Source organism: Homo sapiens, chromosome 2 (genome assembly GCF_000001405.40).
Source record: "Homo sapiens chromosome 2, GRCh38.p14 Primary Assembly".
NCBI lineage: Eukaryota > Metazoa > Chordata > Mammalia > Primates > Hominidae > Homo > Homo sapiens.
This window is the reverse complement of record NC_000002.12, coordinates 218258474-218272541: the sequence shown is the minus strand read 5'-3', so window position 1 is coordinate 218272541 and position 14068 is coordinate 218258474. Positions and strand designations below refer to the sequence as shown.

Sequence of the window (14068 nt, the reverse complement as noted above, 5' to 3'; positions counted from 1 at the left end):
TGGGGAGGGGCCAAGCCTGAGCCAGAGGAGCTGGGGGGAGTCATTCTAGCTTCATCAGTTGCATGAATGCTGCAATACCTCTTATAGTCTATTCATCCTCTGTGCTGGCTGCTGGAGGGACCCACACAAATCAGATCCTGTCACTTCCCTGCTTAAAACCCCGTAACTCCATCACTTCCTGGCCAAGTCCAAACATGGCACAAAAGGCCCAGTGTGGCTGGGTCTCTGCCTGCCTCTTTCCTCCTCCCGCCTAGAGCCTGATCCTCAGCACGAGCCCTGCATTCCTGCAACAGCACCTGTGCAGGATTTTCCAGGCAGCCCTGACGCTTTCCCTCTCTGAGACTTGGCCAAGGTACCCTCCCAGTTTTCCCCTCTTAAGCTAAGTAACCACTGCTTGGGAGGCACTTTGGTATGGGGGAAAGAGCATGGAGTCACAGACTAGGTGAGAATCCTAGCTCAGTCTCAGTTCCTTCCTCTGTGAAATGGGGATGTAATACTTATCTCAAACACTAAAACATTACATGGCAAAGTACTGGCACACCTCACATGCAGAAAAAAATGTTGATTTCTTCCTCCTTTCTCTTTAATATTGGTCAATAATATGTATTAAGGTCAGAGTCAGAGCCCAATCACAATGTTCATAACGCCTTCTGAGTACTACTATACAACTAGTACAAGCTCACATGATCTCAACGAACTACTTACTTAAACTTGGGTCTCACTCCAAGCTCCCAAAAGGGAGGATGAGGCCAGGGACCCAAGTCTGAATCAGATCAACTCAGCTTACTCCACAGTAAACCCACTGTCTTCTCAATTCCACATACTTTCCCACCTCCACTGCCCCACCCCTCTGAGATTCCAATCGAACCCAACAATTCTGTTCCCACAACTTTGGATTCAGCTCGCCACCTGAAACTTGGAGAAGTTTCTAAGTCCTGCCCTCCCCTACAAGCCACGCCCCGTTGGTGGGCAAAGGGGTGGTTAAAACTCACCAGGCCAGTCCCACAGCTTTCATGGGGTTCTTGCCCCTCTTTCTGGGAATGTATTCCAGCTCCGGGGATAGGGGTTCAGGTTCCTCCTTGCCCTCTGGGGAGCTGTGGCTTTGCAGGGCCCGGGTCCTGTTATGAGAAGCCTTGTTAGCTGTGGCTCCTGCGAGAATCCCTGTGGATGGAGGTAAGGAAGGTCAGTAAGAAGAGATGAGAAGAAAGCAAGCGGGGAGGTGGGGGGCAGTAAGGGCTTGGGAGGAGCGGCTGAGATCTGGGGAAGGGGAGTGACTGCAGTCTGAAGTAAGAAGTGCCAAGGAGAATCCAAAGGGAAATGGGAAAATCGCCACCGAGGTGGCACCTTTGGAAGCCACTTCCACGTCACTGCGGGCTCATCACCCTGGTGCCAGGACGAAAAGCTTCGCTGTTCTTCCTCAGACGACAGCATGGGAAGGACTGCAGTGGGACTCACATAAGACGTATGAAGGAAATCCGGGAAAAGGTTTTGAAACTGCAAATGTTAGCACTGGAAGGGACCTTAAAGATAGTCTACTCCATCCCTTGCACTGTACGGAAGAGGAAACTGAAGCCCTGAGAGAAAAACTGCTTTGCCCAAGGTCAAACTGCTAATTATCCGGGGCTGGAACTCAAACCTCCAGAAGCCCGGGGCTCTTTCCTCTGCACTGCGGTGAGTGTGAAACACCTGGAGCGCGGGAGTCCAACAGGCTTCCTAGGAGCTCCCTCTTGCAGCAAGACCCCGGAGGTGTCGAGCAACCCGAAGGCGGGGGGATGCACTGGGTGACCTCTAAAGAGCATCTCTGCACCCCCAGACTCTAAGATCTTGCAGAAAAGTGTGGGGAGGAACCAAGAGCCCTGACCTCCTGCTATCGTCGGGCTGGACGTGAAAGAAAAGGGATCTTCTGCAGTCCTGCCCTCCCCGGGGTCCCTCTCCTTACCCCGGAGGACGCGGGCATTTCTCGCCCCCCGGCCCTTCAGCGCCGTAGCAGCTACCACCGCCGCCATGTTCAGATCCCACCCCCGCTTCACCGCGCTCCCCGCCGGGAATTGTAGTTTGCGTAAGGGGCCTCCCCCGCTCCTTCCGTCCTGCCTACAGACCAGAAACTACATCTCCCAGAAGCCCGCAGAGCGGACCCAGGAGAACTACTCTTCCCAGGAGACCCCGGAGGCGCGCGCGCTCGCTTGTTTCCCTCCAGTTGGGGGCGGAGTCAGGTGGGGCGGAGTTTGGGTTCTCTCCGCCACGCCCCGGCCCCATCTTCCAATGCCGCTCTGTGATTGGTGAGGCGGCCAGCCAACCTTCGTAGCTATTGGCCGAACGGCCGTCGCTCTTCCTGCTGGGGAGTCGCCTACGCCTACTTCCTGCCGGGAGGAGGGGCTCGAGTTCCGCGTCGTCGCGCAGAGCTGACTCTGGGAGGCGTTTGGGCCCAGAGAAGTGGATCCGCCGCTTGCGCCGCATGGAGTCCGAATCGGAAAGCGGGGCTGCTGCTGACACCCCCCCACTGGAGACCCTAAGCTTCCATGGTGATGAAGAGATTATCGAGGTGGTAGAACTTGATCCCGGTCCGCCGGACCCAGGTGAGAACTGCCGCTCCTCAGGCCATGGGACAGGAGACGCTCACCCCTGGCCTCTGACTCCTGCTTTTCCCCGCTCCCCTCCACACCCGACTGGTCATTCCTACCGATATCCCTCTTCCCCTCCTCCCCCACTCCCACCCTCACACTTAGTTCTCAGGCCTGGCTGGGGTGGGGGTTCCCTGACGCCTCCTCTGGCCCTTCCCCTCACACACCCCCTTCCCATCATCCCCTTGGCCCTCCCTTACCGCACGGTCTCTGGCCAGCCGTGGCCTCCCGTCCTGTGTCCCGCGCGCCCCCGCGGACCCCGGTGTGTCTGACTCCACCTTCCCTTCTCGCCACATGACCCGCCCCAGCCTCAGGCCTCCTCATGCTTCTCTCCGTACCTCTTACCGCCTCCCGAGCCCCATCTTCTAACCCTCTCCCCAAAGCAGATGACCTGGCCCAGGAGATGGAAGATGTGGACTTTGAGGAAGAAGAGGAGGAAGAGGGCAACGAAGAGGGCTGGGTTCTAGAACCCCAGGAAGGGGTGGTCGGCAGCATGGAGGGCCCCGACGATAGCGAGGTCACCTTTGCATTGCACTCAGGTAGGTCTTTGAGGCGATCCACCTCAAATCAGTTTAGGTGGGCGTGTAAGCATTAAACATCAGCCATGGACAGAACGTTATGGGGGACACAGAGATGGGCAAGATGCTGGCCTTGCGCTGGAGGAGCCCACAGGTGGGAAAGTGTGGCAGAATGGATGATTGCTTGGCTTCTGGCATCAGTCGAGACACCCTCTACTTTGCCAGTTAACCTTGATTAACCTCTTAGTTTTCTTTTAAAAAGTTATCTTTGGCCGGGCGTGGTGGCTCACTCCTGAAATCCCAGCACTTTAGGAGGCTGAGGCAGGTGGATCACTTGAGGTCAGGAGTTCGAGACCAGCCTGGCCAACATGGCAAAACCCAGTCTCTACTAAAAATACAAAAATTTGGCTGGGCATGGTGGCTCACGCCTGTAATCCCAGCACTTTAGGAGGCCCAGGCAGGCGGATCACAAGGTCGGGAGTTCCAGACCAGCCTGGCCAATATGGTGAAACCCCGTCTCTACTAAAAATACAAAAATTAGCTGGGCGTGGTAGCGGGCGCCTGTAGTCCCAGCTCCTCGGGAGGTTGAGGCAGGAGAATTGCTTGAACCCGGGAGGCGGAGGTTGCAGTGGACCAAGACTGCGCCATTGCACTCCAGCCTGGGCAACAGAATGAGAGTCTGTCTCCAAAAAAAAAAAAAAAAAAAAAGTTATCTTTGATAAAAGTTAATAAAAGTAGTGAGTATAAAATTAGAGATAATTGGCCAGGTGCGGTGGCTCATGCCTGTAATCACAGCACTTTGGAAGGCCAAGGCGGGTGGATCACCTGAGGTCGGGAGTTCAAGACCAGCCTGGCCGACATGGTGAAACCTCATCTCTACTAAAAATAAAAAAAAAATTAGCTGGGTGTGGTGGCATGTGCCTGTAATCCCAGCTACTCCGGAGGCTGAGGAAGGAGAATCACTTGAACCTGGGAGGCAGAGGTTGCATTGAGCTGAGATTGTGCCACTGCGCTTCGGCCTGGGCGACAGAGCAAGATTCCATCTCAAAAAAATAAAATAAAATGAGAGATAATTATATCTTTTTGAGCATATTTTATATAACTTTCTCAAGTGCTAGTTCTTAGTAAGAAACTGTTGCCAGGCACGGTGGCTCATGCCTGTAATCCCAGCACTTTGGGAGGCCGAGGCGGGTGGATCAGAAGGTTAGGAGTTCGAGACCAGCCTGACCAACATGATGAAACCCCATCTCTACTAAAAATACAAAAATTAGCTGGTTGTGGTGGCGGGCGCCTGTAATCCCAGCTACTCAGGGGGCTGAGGCAGGAGAATTGCTTGAACCTGGGAGGTGGAGGTTGCAGTGAGCTGAGATTGTGCCACTGCACTCCAGCCTGGGCGACAGAGCAAGACTCTGTCTCAAAAAACAAAAAACAAAAAACAAAAAACCCTTAACGTGATGCTCTCCTCGCTCTGTACCCAACCCCGGTGGCATCCCATGCTGACAACTGTAAGCCCTGCACCTGTCCCCACCTCTTGTCCATGGCATTGGTGTTGGGTGGTGACGGGAGTCACACAGTGAGGGGATCTACTCTGGCAAATAGGGAGCTTGGCAAATATGGGAAGGATCTAACAACCCAATTCTTGAAACTTAGAAGAACTTGGATGTACCTGTGTTTTCCAGGAGGAAAGACACGCTTTGGGTGAAAGGGGGTGGGTTTCCTGAAGATTGTGAAGGACAGAGCCCTAGGTGGGAGCTCTGTCCCCTTACCCATGGAATATCTCTTGGGACAGCATCTGTGTTTTGTGTGAGCCTGGACCCCAAGACCAATACCTTGGCAGTGACCGGGGGTGAAGATGACAAAGCCTTCGTATGGCGGCTCAGCGATGGGGAGCTGCTCTTTGAGTGTGCAGGTGAGGGGGCTGGGGTAGAGGCCTGGGAGAGGTCATATTCTTTTGGGAGATCTTAGGAGGCTGACCTGCAGAGGTTGTGCATCCAACAGCCACTTAGTGACATCTCTTTTGTGCCAGCTCTGTGCTGGGCCCCAGGGACACGGGGCGAATACTAGTGTGTTTTGGGCACAGAGGCAGGAGGCACTAATTGGCCAAGGGAATCCAGGAAAGGCCAGAGAAGGCCACATTGGTATAGGAGCAGGCGGGCAGAGGTGTAGAGTGGACAGAAGGGGGAAGGCATAGGAGGCTGGGACTTGGTCTGGTTGAGTGAGGGCCAGCAGTGTCTCCCAGCAGACATGGGAGTATTGGTTCCTAGAGTGGTGGTGAGTTCCAGCACCTGTTCTGCTCAGTCCCGCCCCTCTTTTTTTCCTAGCTGGTCCTTTCAGTGGGCCAGATACCAGAATCACATGCCCCCAGCACCAGGTACCCTATTTTTTTCCTCTGTTTTCTGCCCACTTTTCTTTGAAGGCCATAAAGACTCTGTGACTTGTGCTGGTTTCAGCCATGACTCCACTCTAGTGGCCACAGGGGACATGAGTGGCCTCTTGAAAGTGTGGCAGGTGGACACTAAGGAGGAGGTCTGGTCCTTTGAAGCGGGAGACCTGGAGGTAAGATCATCAGAGCGGGAGTCAGCTCTGTGGGGCCTTGGGTTGTTGGGGGTGCAAGCTTGGGAGGCCAGTTCTGCCTTTATTGCGCCAAGCCAGCTCTGAGCCAATGCGCCCCAAGGCACAGGAAGAATATCTACCTGCTACCTGGAAAGTCCCCGCGGAACCCCAGAGGCAGGAAACCTTGGGTGGAGCTCATGGGGCAGGCTTCTAGGTGGGATGGGGTGACGGGCCTCCCTGCTGCCCCTTCCTCCCTGTCCAGTGGATGGAGTGGCATCCTCGGGCACCTGTCCTGTTGGCGGGCACAGCTGACGGCAACACCTGGATGTGGAAAGTCCCGAATGGTGACTGCAAGACCTTCCAGGGTCCCAACTGCCCAGCCACCTGTGGCCGAGTCCTCCCTGATGGTGAGAGCACCTCCCTTGAGTGACCTTTCCTGGGTGCAGAGGCCGAATCCCGGGATATACACCTCCCAGAGCAGCCTTCTGGGTCACAGCCGGCAAAATCTGAGGCCTGCTGTTTGCAGTGCTGACCTCCTGGGCCCCAAAGTTCACAGCGCCTCCTTCCTGCTCTGAACTCACCTGTGATTCCTGGGGCAGTGTCTGGGCCCTTCCACTCTTCTTTCCTCTCCCTCTCCCCATTCCCTTGCTTAGTGTATGTGAGCGTGCCCTCTGCCCTCTCTTCATCTGTGCCTCTCTTCAGGGAAGAGAGCTGTGGTAGGCTATGAAGATGGGACCATCAGGATTTGGGACCTGAAGCAGGGAAGCCCTATCCATGTACTGAAAGGTATCAGAGGTGGGGGAAGTGTTAGCCTGGGCCTTTGTAGGGAGGGGCTGAGAACCTGGGGCAGGACTCAGAGGGGAGGTAGGACGAAGCCTGAGCTGCCTCCCTGCTCTATGCTAGGGACTGAGGGTCACCAGGGCCCACTCACCTGTGTTGCTGCCAACCAGGATGGCAGCTTGATCCTAACTGGCTCTGTGGACTGCCAGGCCAAGCTGGTCAGTGCCACCACCGGCAAGGTGAGTGGACCTGGAGCCCGGCTGGGGCCTCCGCTTTCCCGACTCCTCTCCTTCCTTCCTGGGTCTTCACTGTCTCCTCTCCCCACCGTCTTTCTCTCCATCAAGCACCCGGATTCCGTGTCCTCCTCTGATCCTCTCTGGCTTTCAGGTGGTGGGTGTTTTTAGACCTGAGACTGTGGCCTCCCAGCCCAGCCTGGGAGAAGGGGAGGAGAGTGAGTCCAACTCGGTGGAGTCCTTGGGCTTCTGCAGTGTGTGAGTGAGGATGGGGAAAGGGGTTTGTGGGAGGGGCCTGGGCTGGGGGCCCGGGAGGACGGCAGGGCGTGTGAGTCCAGGCCCTCATGAGTCTTCATGGTACGCTCCTCTGGCCAGGATGCCCCTGGCAGCTGTTGGCTACCTGGATGGGACCTTGGCCATCTATGACCTGGCTACGCAGACTCTTAGGCATCAGTGTCAGCACCAGGTATGGGCAGCTGGAGCTGGGGTCCCTGTGGGCTGTGTCCATAGTGGTGGGGAAGCCCAGGCCTCCAGGAGCATCTACCCCAGATCTGGCTCCTGCCTGGCCCTTGTGTGTGGCTGTCCCTCTTTGAGAATTGGGAGCAGATGGCTCTCAGCTCTCCTGCCAACCTCCGCCCTGCCTCTGTCATTCCTCGGGGCAGTCGGGCATCGTGCAGCTGCTGTGGGAGGCAGGCACTGCCGTGGTATATACCTGCAGCCTGGATGGCATCGTGCGCCTCTGGGACGCCCGGACCGGCCGCCTGCTTACTGACTACCGGGGCCACACGGCTGAGATCCTGGACTTTGCCCTCAGCAAGTAAGTGAATTGGCCAAGGGCTGGGATCTTTGTGTATTTGGAAGGTGGCAGTAGTATGTAGGGGACACAGGATCCTTGGGGTGTGGGAAGGGATTCCTAAGGCAGGAATGCAGAGAAGCCTGAGGGTTCACAGCCCAGCCCCCATTCCAGTGGCTGACAGTGACCCTCCGGGGCCCCACGTCTCAGTCATGAGGGAGAGGCTGAGACTGATTTTCCCCATCGGAGTCAGCTCTGCTTCTCCCGTGCTGGGGGCTTCCTCTAATCCCCTCCATGCTGGCTGCAGAGATGTCGGCCCAGTGCTAGGCACTAGGGCCCTAGAACTGAGGGTGTGCTGGAGGAGCCCACCCTAGGGCCCCTAGGTGGTGGGCTTGGGTCCCCCAGTCTCTGCAATCACATGCTTTCTGTTTACAGAGATGCCTCCCTGGTGGTGACCACGTCAGGAGACCACAAAGCGAAAGTATTTTGTGTCCAAAGGCCTGACCGTTAATGGCTGCAGCCCCTGCCTGTGTGTCTGGTGTTGAGGGGACGAAGGGACCCCTGCCCCTGTCTGCCAGCAGAGGCAGTAGGGCACAGAGGGAAGAGGAGGGTGGGGCCCTGGATGACTTTCCAGCCTCTTCAACTGACTTGCTCCCCTCTCCTTTTCTTCTCTTTAGAGACCCAGCCCAGGGCCCTCCCACCCTTGTCCAGACCTGGTGGGCCCTTCAGAGGGAGGGGTGGACCTGTTTCTCTTTCACTTTCATTTGCTGGTGTGAGCCATGGGGTGTGTATTTGTATGTGGGGAGTAGGTGTTTGAGGTTCCCGTTCTTTCCCTTCCCAAGTCTCTGGGGGTGGAAAGGAGGAAGAGATACTAGTTAAAGATTTTAAAAATGTAAATAAAATATACTTCCCAGAGACAGAGTCTGTGTGGATTTTGTGATGGCTGGACCCTAGGAGGAGCTAGCGAGGGCCCCGTCAGGGCAAGGCTGTCCCGCAGAATCGGCTGGATGTTGAGATGTGCCAGCTCCCCATCTCCAGGGGTGGTCTGTGCGCACGACACTTCTTGCCTGCCTGGAGTCGGACTCTGCCTTAATCCACGCGTATGTCTGTAGGTTCTTTCTATTGTTGGTGTGTTGAGCCATTTCCTCCTGCCTCGCCCTGAGATATGGAATGAGATAATCATAAACGGCCAGAGGAGCTTTATTCAGTCAGTGCGGGGTCAAACAGAGGCAGGGTCTCTGATCCAGAGAAGTGGGGCCCGGTAGAGACAGGCTGGATGGCTGAGCTGGACGGATGCTCTGGTAGGAGTCAGCAGAGGCCCTTCCTTTAGTTCAAGTCCAGGTCGACACTGCTTTGGCTGCTTGGGTGGTAGGCAATGCTGGGGCCGGGACTGTCCCGGGAGGCTCTTCCCCACAGCCCCTGCAGGCACCTTTGGGCGGCTGCCCTCCAGGGGGCTGTGTAGCGCTGATCGCCCAGCCCCATGGCTACGGGCACTGCCGCTGCACTGGCACTTCCTAGGGAGAGGAGGGACAACAGTGTCCCAGGCCCCAGTGGCGGGCGCTGCTCATAGGCCAGGACTGAGAGGAGCAGTGTGGCCACGTAGGGCCCCCAGCACAGCCCGAAGAGCAGCATGGCTCCAGCCTGTGCCCTTGCCTGCCTCCAGGTAAGGGCCCGGGCCAGGGCGGAGGGCTCATCGCGGCACACTGCCCGCTCCAGCCGGCAGATGTCCTGCAGCTGGCGGTGGGCAGTGGCCAGCACGCGGACAGAGAGGAAGGCAGCAGCACCCACGGCGGGCAGCAGGAGCCCATAGACTTCGAGGTACAGGTAGGGGGCTGGGAAGATAGCCTGGGAGCTGCAGTTGGCACCAGGGGTCCAGTGGTTCCACCCCAGAGCGGGCAGACTGGCAAAGAGCAGGGGACCAGCCCAGGTGAGGAGCAGGGCCAGCCGAATGCTCCCAGGGGGCTGGAGTGGCCTCAGGACTGCCATGTAGCGCTCCCCGTGCACCAGCAAGAGGTTGGCAAGCAGGGAGAGGAAGGAGAAGTTGGGAGCCAAGTAGACGAGGAGGCAGGACCAGTAACCCCGGCGACTCTGGTTCCACAGCCCTGGCAATGTGGGCAATGCCAGACCCGTGAGCAGCCCAGCCAGCAGTAGGCTCAGGAAGAAGCAGCCAGCAGGTGGGCTGCGCAGGCGGCGGTCCCAGGCGATGCCCAGGGCTAGGAGCAGGTTCGCGGTGATGATGAGGCTTGCCAGGGCCAGGGAGAGCCCCAAAGCCCCCTTGGGAATGGGGCTGGGCACCTCGCCAGTGCTGTTGGGCGTCATCTTGGTCCTGGGGACAGGGGAGTCCTGGAGCGGCAGCCGGCATGCCTGCAGGATGGGGTGGCCAGAGTTAGGATGGGGCTGCAGGTCGTGTCCTCCTGGCAGGGCAGCATGTTAATCCAGGGGCGCAGACCCGCAGGCTGTGGGCTGTATCATGTTCGCTGATACACAGAATTTTTCAATTAATTGCCAATTAAACATTTATATAAAAAACTATCTTTGGTTTCTATTGAAAATTCAGGTCTGGCAACACATATGTCCTGTGTGGTAGCAACCAGCCGGAGCTCACTGCTGGCTGCCCTTCGGACAGTCCCCACCCAGCCAGCTTTATCCATTTCTGGTATCTGCCTTTTCTGGGCAGCTGTGTTGAGGTCTCTTGTTTAGACTGAAAGGCGGGCCCATCCAGCCCCAAAGCATTTTGTGTATCCCTGCCTCCACCGGGGAGGCCTCTAAATGAGAGAATGGACCAGGGCTGGCTGGTGTGTAGTGGTCTTCCAGCCAGCCATTAGGTGACAGGCTCCAGCGGGCCAGGTCTCGGGCACCCTGCACCCTTCCCCCCATCTGTCCTTGTAGCCATCACAGCTCAGTGAGCAGCCTCCGGGTAGGACTTCCAGCCCATAAACTTGACTCGTCTTTGCTCCACACTAGCAACAGGGTCCTTCCTGGGAGCTGGAGGGAGGAGAGAAGCAGCTGGAGGGCACGTGTGGCAGTGAACGTGGAGATGCCAGCAGCAAGGAGAGGGACTCCCCCACACCCCCAGGCCTGAGGCTGAGCCCAGAGGAGAGGGAAGAGGAGTCTGGGCAGAGTCTGGCTTCTCTGTGGCTCTCATCTGTCCCTGTCCTTCCCGTCATTCCCTGGTCTCAGTCCTCCAGTGTCATGGCTCTGCTGCCACATCCTGGGGACAGGGGGAGGGGTCCTGGGTCCTGTGGGAACTCCTGCTTCTGTCAACAGGGGAGCAGCTGCTGTTGCTAGGATCCAAGTCAATAAGGAAAGGATTCATACCTCTCCCCTCCTCCAGGACAGGGGATCAGGGCCCCATGGCTGCCCTGAGCTGAGAGGAAGGAAGATGCTCCCCTTCCTTCCCAGGTTCCCCCAGCACCCTGAGCCTGGGCCTCCAAGGCCTTATGCCCCCTTTCCCCTCCCCTAAGCATGTTTTCTCTTTCTCAATCTCTTCCAGTGCCCTCCACCCAGGATGTCTTTTCCTCTCTAGAGGCCTTGCAGTTTCTGTTCCCTTTCCCAGGGCATCATCAACTCTCTTAAGTCCCGTGAGACTCAGGGTCCATTACCCCAAACCTGGCCTGAGCTGGAGCTCCCAGCCCTAATCGGAATGATTCCCCCCAACCCACCTCCACTAGAACAGCGACAAAGGCAGGGAGCAGCCCCCAGGGGTGATTTCCCAGCAGGGTGCAGGCTGTACCACCTGCACACCCCCGAGGGTCTGGTGGCTTGGGCTGGGTGTAGTAGCCTCTCCAGGATCTGGGGTTTGGGGGTTTGGGGGAGTAGCTACTCACATGGCTGTTGGGAGCAGGTATTGCCTGCCCAGCCTGGGCCTTCCTGAGTGTCAGGGAGTTGCTGCAGCCAGCCCTGCAGCGGTTTGGACCATGTCTGGTGTCCTGGCTGAAGAGCACAAGTGGACCAAGTGCATGGTGTCTCCACCCAGTGGGGACAGCGGGGCCAGGCTCTCCTACCCAGGCTCTGCCCGTCTGGGTTCTCAGAGGGATAGAGAAATGAGGCTGGCAGGACTCAGCCCTGGCCCCGCCTCTGGGAGGGTGGGACCTGACATATTCCAAACTGCAGCAACTGGGAGGCCTGCCTCCCCCTCCCACCCAGTTCCCCTCTCCCCCTGCCACCTAGGTGGCAGTTTCCCTACTCCAGCTCGGAGTAATCTGAGAAATGCATTCCAGTTAATGAATAATAATGATTGACTTACCCCTCCCGACTTCCCGCCTCAGCTGATGCATTTACATTTAAGCCCCTGGACTGGCCAGCCAGCTGACAGCACACCAGGCTCCCTCCACACTTCCGTGTGTGATGGTGGCAGTGGCAGGTGTTTGGGGCCTGAGGATCTTCACTCCCCCATCCCATCACCTGATGGGCCTTTCAGTTTCTAAGGCCAGACTTGCCTTCCTGAATCTGGGGTCATTCCACACTTTTCTCAACTGCTTTCTGAGTCAAGTTCTGAACTATGAGGGACAAATGGCTCTGGGGATGTGACCATGGGTAAGGTACTACTGGGCCTCGGTTTTTGCCTGTGTTAAAATGGGAACAAGAAAAACCACCTCTAATTAAGGTCGTGGTGGGGAATATCACAGGATAACACATATGGCGGCATATACCCCAGTGCATGGCCCTTGATGGGTGGGGGTTTGCCCCAACAAATGGCTCCCTCTCTTTCCTCCCCCATGATGAAGAGGCATGAGCTGGCGCTGGAATCAGAGCTGTCTGGATCCTTTTTTAAAAAAGCCAGTGAACTTGGGCAAATGACTAAAGTTCCCTTGCCTTAGTTTCCTCATCTGTCAAATGGGGCCCATAGTTGTACTCACCTATCGTGAGACTAAATGAAGTCCCGTGTGATGAGGACTCAGATCAACACTTGGCCCTTCAGCACTCCGCGACAGGCAGCGATCGCTGGGAACATTATTAGGATTTCTGCCTTTCTCTGCACCTGGCCCCTCTAAGACAGATCTGCTGAGAGGGGCGCATGGGGAGCTTGGGAAAAGCAAGAGGGGAGTGACACTCTTGCTGCACAGGGAAGCTGAGGAAACCAGATACATTGAGAGGGAAGGGCAAGTTCAAGGCTGGGAAGCCAGAAGTGGTGCTTTGATTTCCACCTTGTATCAAGTGCGGCTTTGGAGTGAGGGGGAGGAGAGAAGCCCAGCCACACTCCCTTAAGGCCTGAAATGGGAGGGAACAGGCGGAAATTGCAGCAGGAAAGCTGGGACTGGGGGTGAGACATTAGGAAACACTTGCTGGCTGAAGAGCGCAAGTAAATGGAGCAAAGGGACTCTGGTGCTCTCCGGGAGAGCTGGGCCTGAAGGGCTGGAAGCCCGTGGAGTGTGGCTGTGCCAGCTCTGCACAGCCAGTCAGGGATCCTGGAGATCAGGGACTTCTGTTGGGACAAAAAGTGGGAAGAGGAAAGCATCCAGCCTCAAGTCCATCCTCGAGGGAGCTGGTGGGTCGGAAGGACGCAGGGTTCCAGGGCCGGTCCTCAGAACCACGGGATCTGGTCGGGCAGAAGTCACAGGCTCTGGGAGAGTTCAGCCTGGGGCCTGGACAGAAGTGGGTGTGGGACCCTTCTGATATGTGACTTCCAGGAATAAACAGACCTCCTGTTCCCAGCCCCAGCCTGCTCCCTGTGGGATCCAGGATGTCTGTTTCTTCTCTGCTGCTCTGTCTAAACACTGTGTGTGGGATGTGTGTGAAGGGGGACAGATTAGGTAGTGGCAGCCAGGGAGCCTGGGCTGTCTCCTGCTCAGCCTCATTTCTCCCTTCCTAGATCATCTAGTTCCTGTCTGTTCCATCAAGCCCTGGGGCTGACTCACCCCCTAGCTTCTCCCTTCAGCCACGGAGGGCTCTGGTGCAAGCCGTCTTCAGACGCTCCATCCAGCTGACTGTGCCCGGACCCCATTCTCCTTTCCTCAGGCAGAGCCTGAATGGGGGTGACCAATTCAGACTCTGGCATGGAATCCTCCTGTGCCTCCTTTGTCCGCTTCCATTCTCTTAGCTATCTGAATTTCTCTCTGTTGACCCACAATGTCTGGGACTGGGTGAGTGTCATGCTGGCTGCGGGTACCAGCTCTGGACCAATGGAGGCAGCAGGGACGGGGTTTGCTGGACCCTGGTTGGCCTCCCTGAGCCGCTGTTCAACACTTCACACTCAATGCCTGTAATCCTAGCACTTTAAGAGGCTGAGGCCTGGGCAACGTGGTGAGACTCCGTCTCTACAAAAAATAAAGATTAGCTGGGCACAGTGGTACATGTTGTGTGGTTCCAGCTACTCAGGAGGCTGAGGTGTGAAGATTGCTCGAGTCCAGGAGGTTGAGGCTGCCGTGAGCCTTCATGGCGCCACTGCACTGCAGCCTGGGCGACAGAGTGAGACCCTGCCTCAAAATAAAGATGATTAAAAAAAATCAGAGCCAGGCGCGGTGGTTCATCCTTGTAATCCCAGCACTTTGGGAGGCCGAGGTGGACAGATCACCTGAAGTCAGGAGTTTGAGAGCAGTCTGGCCAACATGGTGAAACCCCATCTCTACT

The 14068-nt window shown here is 56.8% G+C and overlaps 3 protein-coding genes across 10 annotated transcripts in view, besides 6 other annotated features; 1 reads left to right on the top strand and 2 right to left on the bottom strand.

The window, feature by feature from the left end:
* PNKD (PNKD metallo-beta-lactamase domain containing) overlaps nucleotides 1–2023 on the bottom strand; it is a 76275-nt gene extending 74252 nt beyond the window's left edge. For all 3 annotated transcript variants that reach the window (NM_015488.5, XM_017003771.2, NM_001077399.3), the window contains exons 1-2: nucleotides 1940–2023; nucleotides 993–1161 (exon numbers count right to left, since the gene is read on the bottom strand). In NM_015488.5, the coding sequence (NP_056303.3) occupies nucleotides 993–1161; nucleotides 1940–2006 (236 nt within the window). In that variant the 5' untranslated portion in view covers nucleotides 2007–2023. The remainder of the gene's footprint in view (nucleotides 1–992; nucleotides 1162–1939) is intronic.
* Nucleotides 1729–1778: an enhancer, noted in NCBI's record as "active region_17118". NCBI's record gives its function as "activates an Ori minimal core promoter by ATAC-STARR-seq in GM12878 lymphoblastoid cells {active_cell/tissue: GM12878}" and the evidence as "EXISTENCE:reporter gene assay evidence [ECO:0000049][PMID:35858748]".
* Nucleotides 1809–2188: an enhancer, noted in NCBI's record as "active region_17117". NCBI's record gives its function as "activates an Ori minimal core promoter by ATAC-STARR-seq in GM12878 lymphoblastoid cells {active_cell/tissue: GM12878}" and the evidence as "EXISTENCE:reporter gene assay evidence [ECO:0000049][PMID:35858748]".
* Nucleotides 2339–2658: an enhancer, noted in NCBI's record as "active region_17116". NCBI's record gives its function as "activates an Ori minimal core promoter by ATAC-STARR-seq in GM12878 lymphoblastoid cells {active_cell/tissue: GM12878}" and the evidence as "EXISTENCE:reporter gene assay evidence [ECO:0000049][PMID:35858748]".
* On the top strand, nucleotides 2405–8413 carry AAMP (angio associated migratory cell protein). 2 transcript variants are annotated; one of them, NM_001087.5, is made up of 11 exons: nucleotides 2405–2576; nucleotides 3008–3160; nucleotides 4929–5048; nucleotides 5556–5695; nucleotides 5955–6099; nucleotides 6395–6478; nucleotides 6596–6711; nucleotides 6860–6963; nucleotides 7081–7171; nucleotides 7368–7522; nucleotides 7934–8413. In NM_001087.5, the coding sequence occupies exons 1-11, from the start codon at nucleotides 2456–2458 to the stop codon at nucleotides 8007–8009; spliced, it is 1305 nt and encodes a 434-aa protein (NP_001078.2). In that variant the 5' UTR covers nucleotides 2405–2455; the 3' UTR covers nucleotides 8010–8413. The 2 variants fall into 2 exon arrangements, with proteins under 2 accessions (NP_001078.2, NP_001289474.1); NM_001302545.2 differs by having other exon boundaries at nucleotides 3005–3160.
* Nucleotides 3227–4112: an enhancer, noted in NCBI's record as "H3K27ac-H3K4me1 hESC enhancer chr2:219133153-219134038 (GRCh37/hg19 assembly coordinates)". NCBI's record gives its function as "activates a minimal SCP1, AML or CMV promoter by ChIP-STARR-seq in naive H9 embryonic stem cells {active_cell/tissue: H9 hESC(naive)}" and the evidence as "EXISTENCE:reporter gene assay evidence [ECO:0000049][PMID:30033119]".
* Nucleotides 8172–8351: an enhancer, noted in NCBI's record as "active region_17115". NCBI's record gives its function as "activates an Ori minimal core promoter by ATAC-STARR-seq in GM12878 lymphoblastoid cells {active_cell/tissue: GM12878}" and the evidence as "EXISTENCE:reporter gene assay evidence [ECO:0000049][PMID:35858748]".
* Nucleotides 8681–13046, bottom strand: GPBAR1 (G protein-coupled bile acid receptor 1). 5 transcript variants are annotated; one of them, XM_011510743.1, is made up of 2 exons: nucleotides 12358–13046; nucleotides 8681–10483 (listed from the first exon to the last, which is right to left on the bottom strand). In XM_011510743.1, the coding sequence occupies exon 2, from the start codon at nucleotides 9815–9817 to the stop codon at nucleotides 8825–8827; it is 993 nt and encodes a 330-aa protein (XP_011509045.1). In that variant the 5' UTR covers nucleotides 9818–10483; nucleotides 12358–13046; the 3' UTR covers nucleotides 8681–8824. The 5 variants fall into 5 exon arrangements, with proteins under 5 accessions (XP_011509045.1, NP_001308879.1, NP_001070659.1 ...); NM_001321950.2 differs by having other exon boundaries at nucleotides 8681–9862; NM_001077191.2 differs by lacking the exon at nucleotides 12358–13046 and adding an exon at nucleotides 11326–11527.
* Nucleotides 10275–11080: an enhancer, noted in NCBI's record as "H3K27ac-H3K4me1 hESC enhancer chr2:219126185-219126990 (GRCh37/hg19 assembly coordinates)". NCBI's record gives its function as "activates a minimal SCP1, AML or CMV promoter by ChIP-STARR-seq in primed H9 embryonic stem cells {active_cell/tissue: H9 hESC(primed)}" and the evidence as "EXISTENCE:reporter gene assay evidence [ECO:0000049][PMID:30033119]".
* Nucleotides 13047–14068: the final 1022 nt, after the last annotated feature.

Excerpts from the sequence above, each read along its gene's own strand:
- AAMP (NM_001302545.2), top strand. The coding sequence starts at position 2,456 with ATGGAGTCCGAATCGGAAAGCGGGGCTGCTGCTGACACCCCCCCACTG. Across the intron at positions 3,161-4,928 it reads CACCTTTGCATTGCACTCAG|CATCTGTGTTTTGTGTGAGC; the intron begins GTAGGTCTTTGA and ends CTCTTGGGACAG. Across the intron at positions 6,479-6,595 it reads CCCTATCCATGTACTGAAAG|GGACTGAGGGTCACCAGGGC; the intron begins GTATCAGAGGTG and ends GCTCTATGCTAG.
- GPBAR1 (XM_011510743.1), bottom strand. The coding sequence starts at position 9,817 with ATGACGCCCAACAGCACTGGCGAGGTGCCCAGCCCCATTCCCAAGGGG.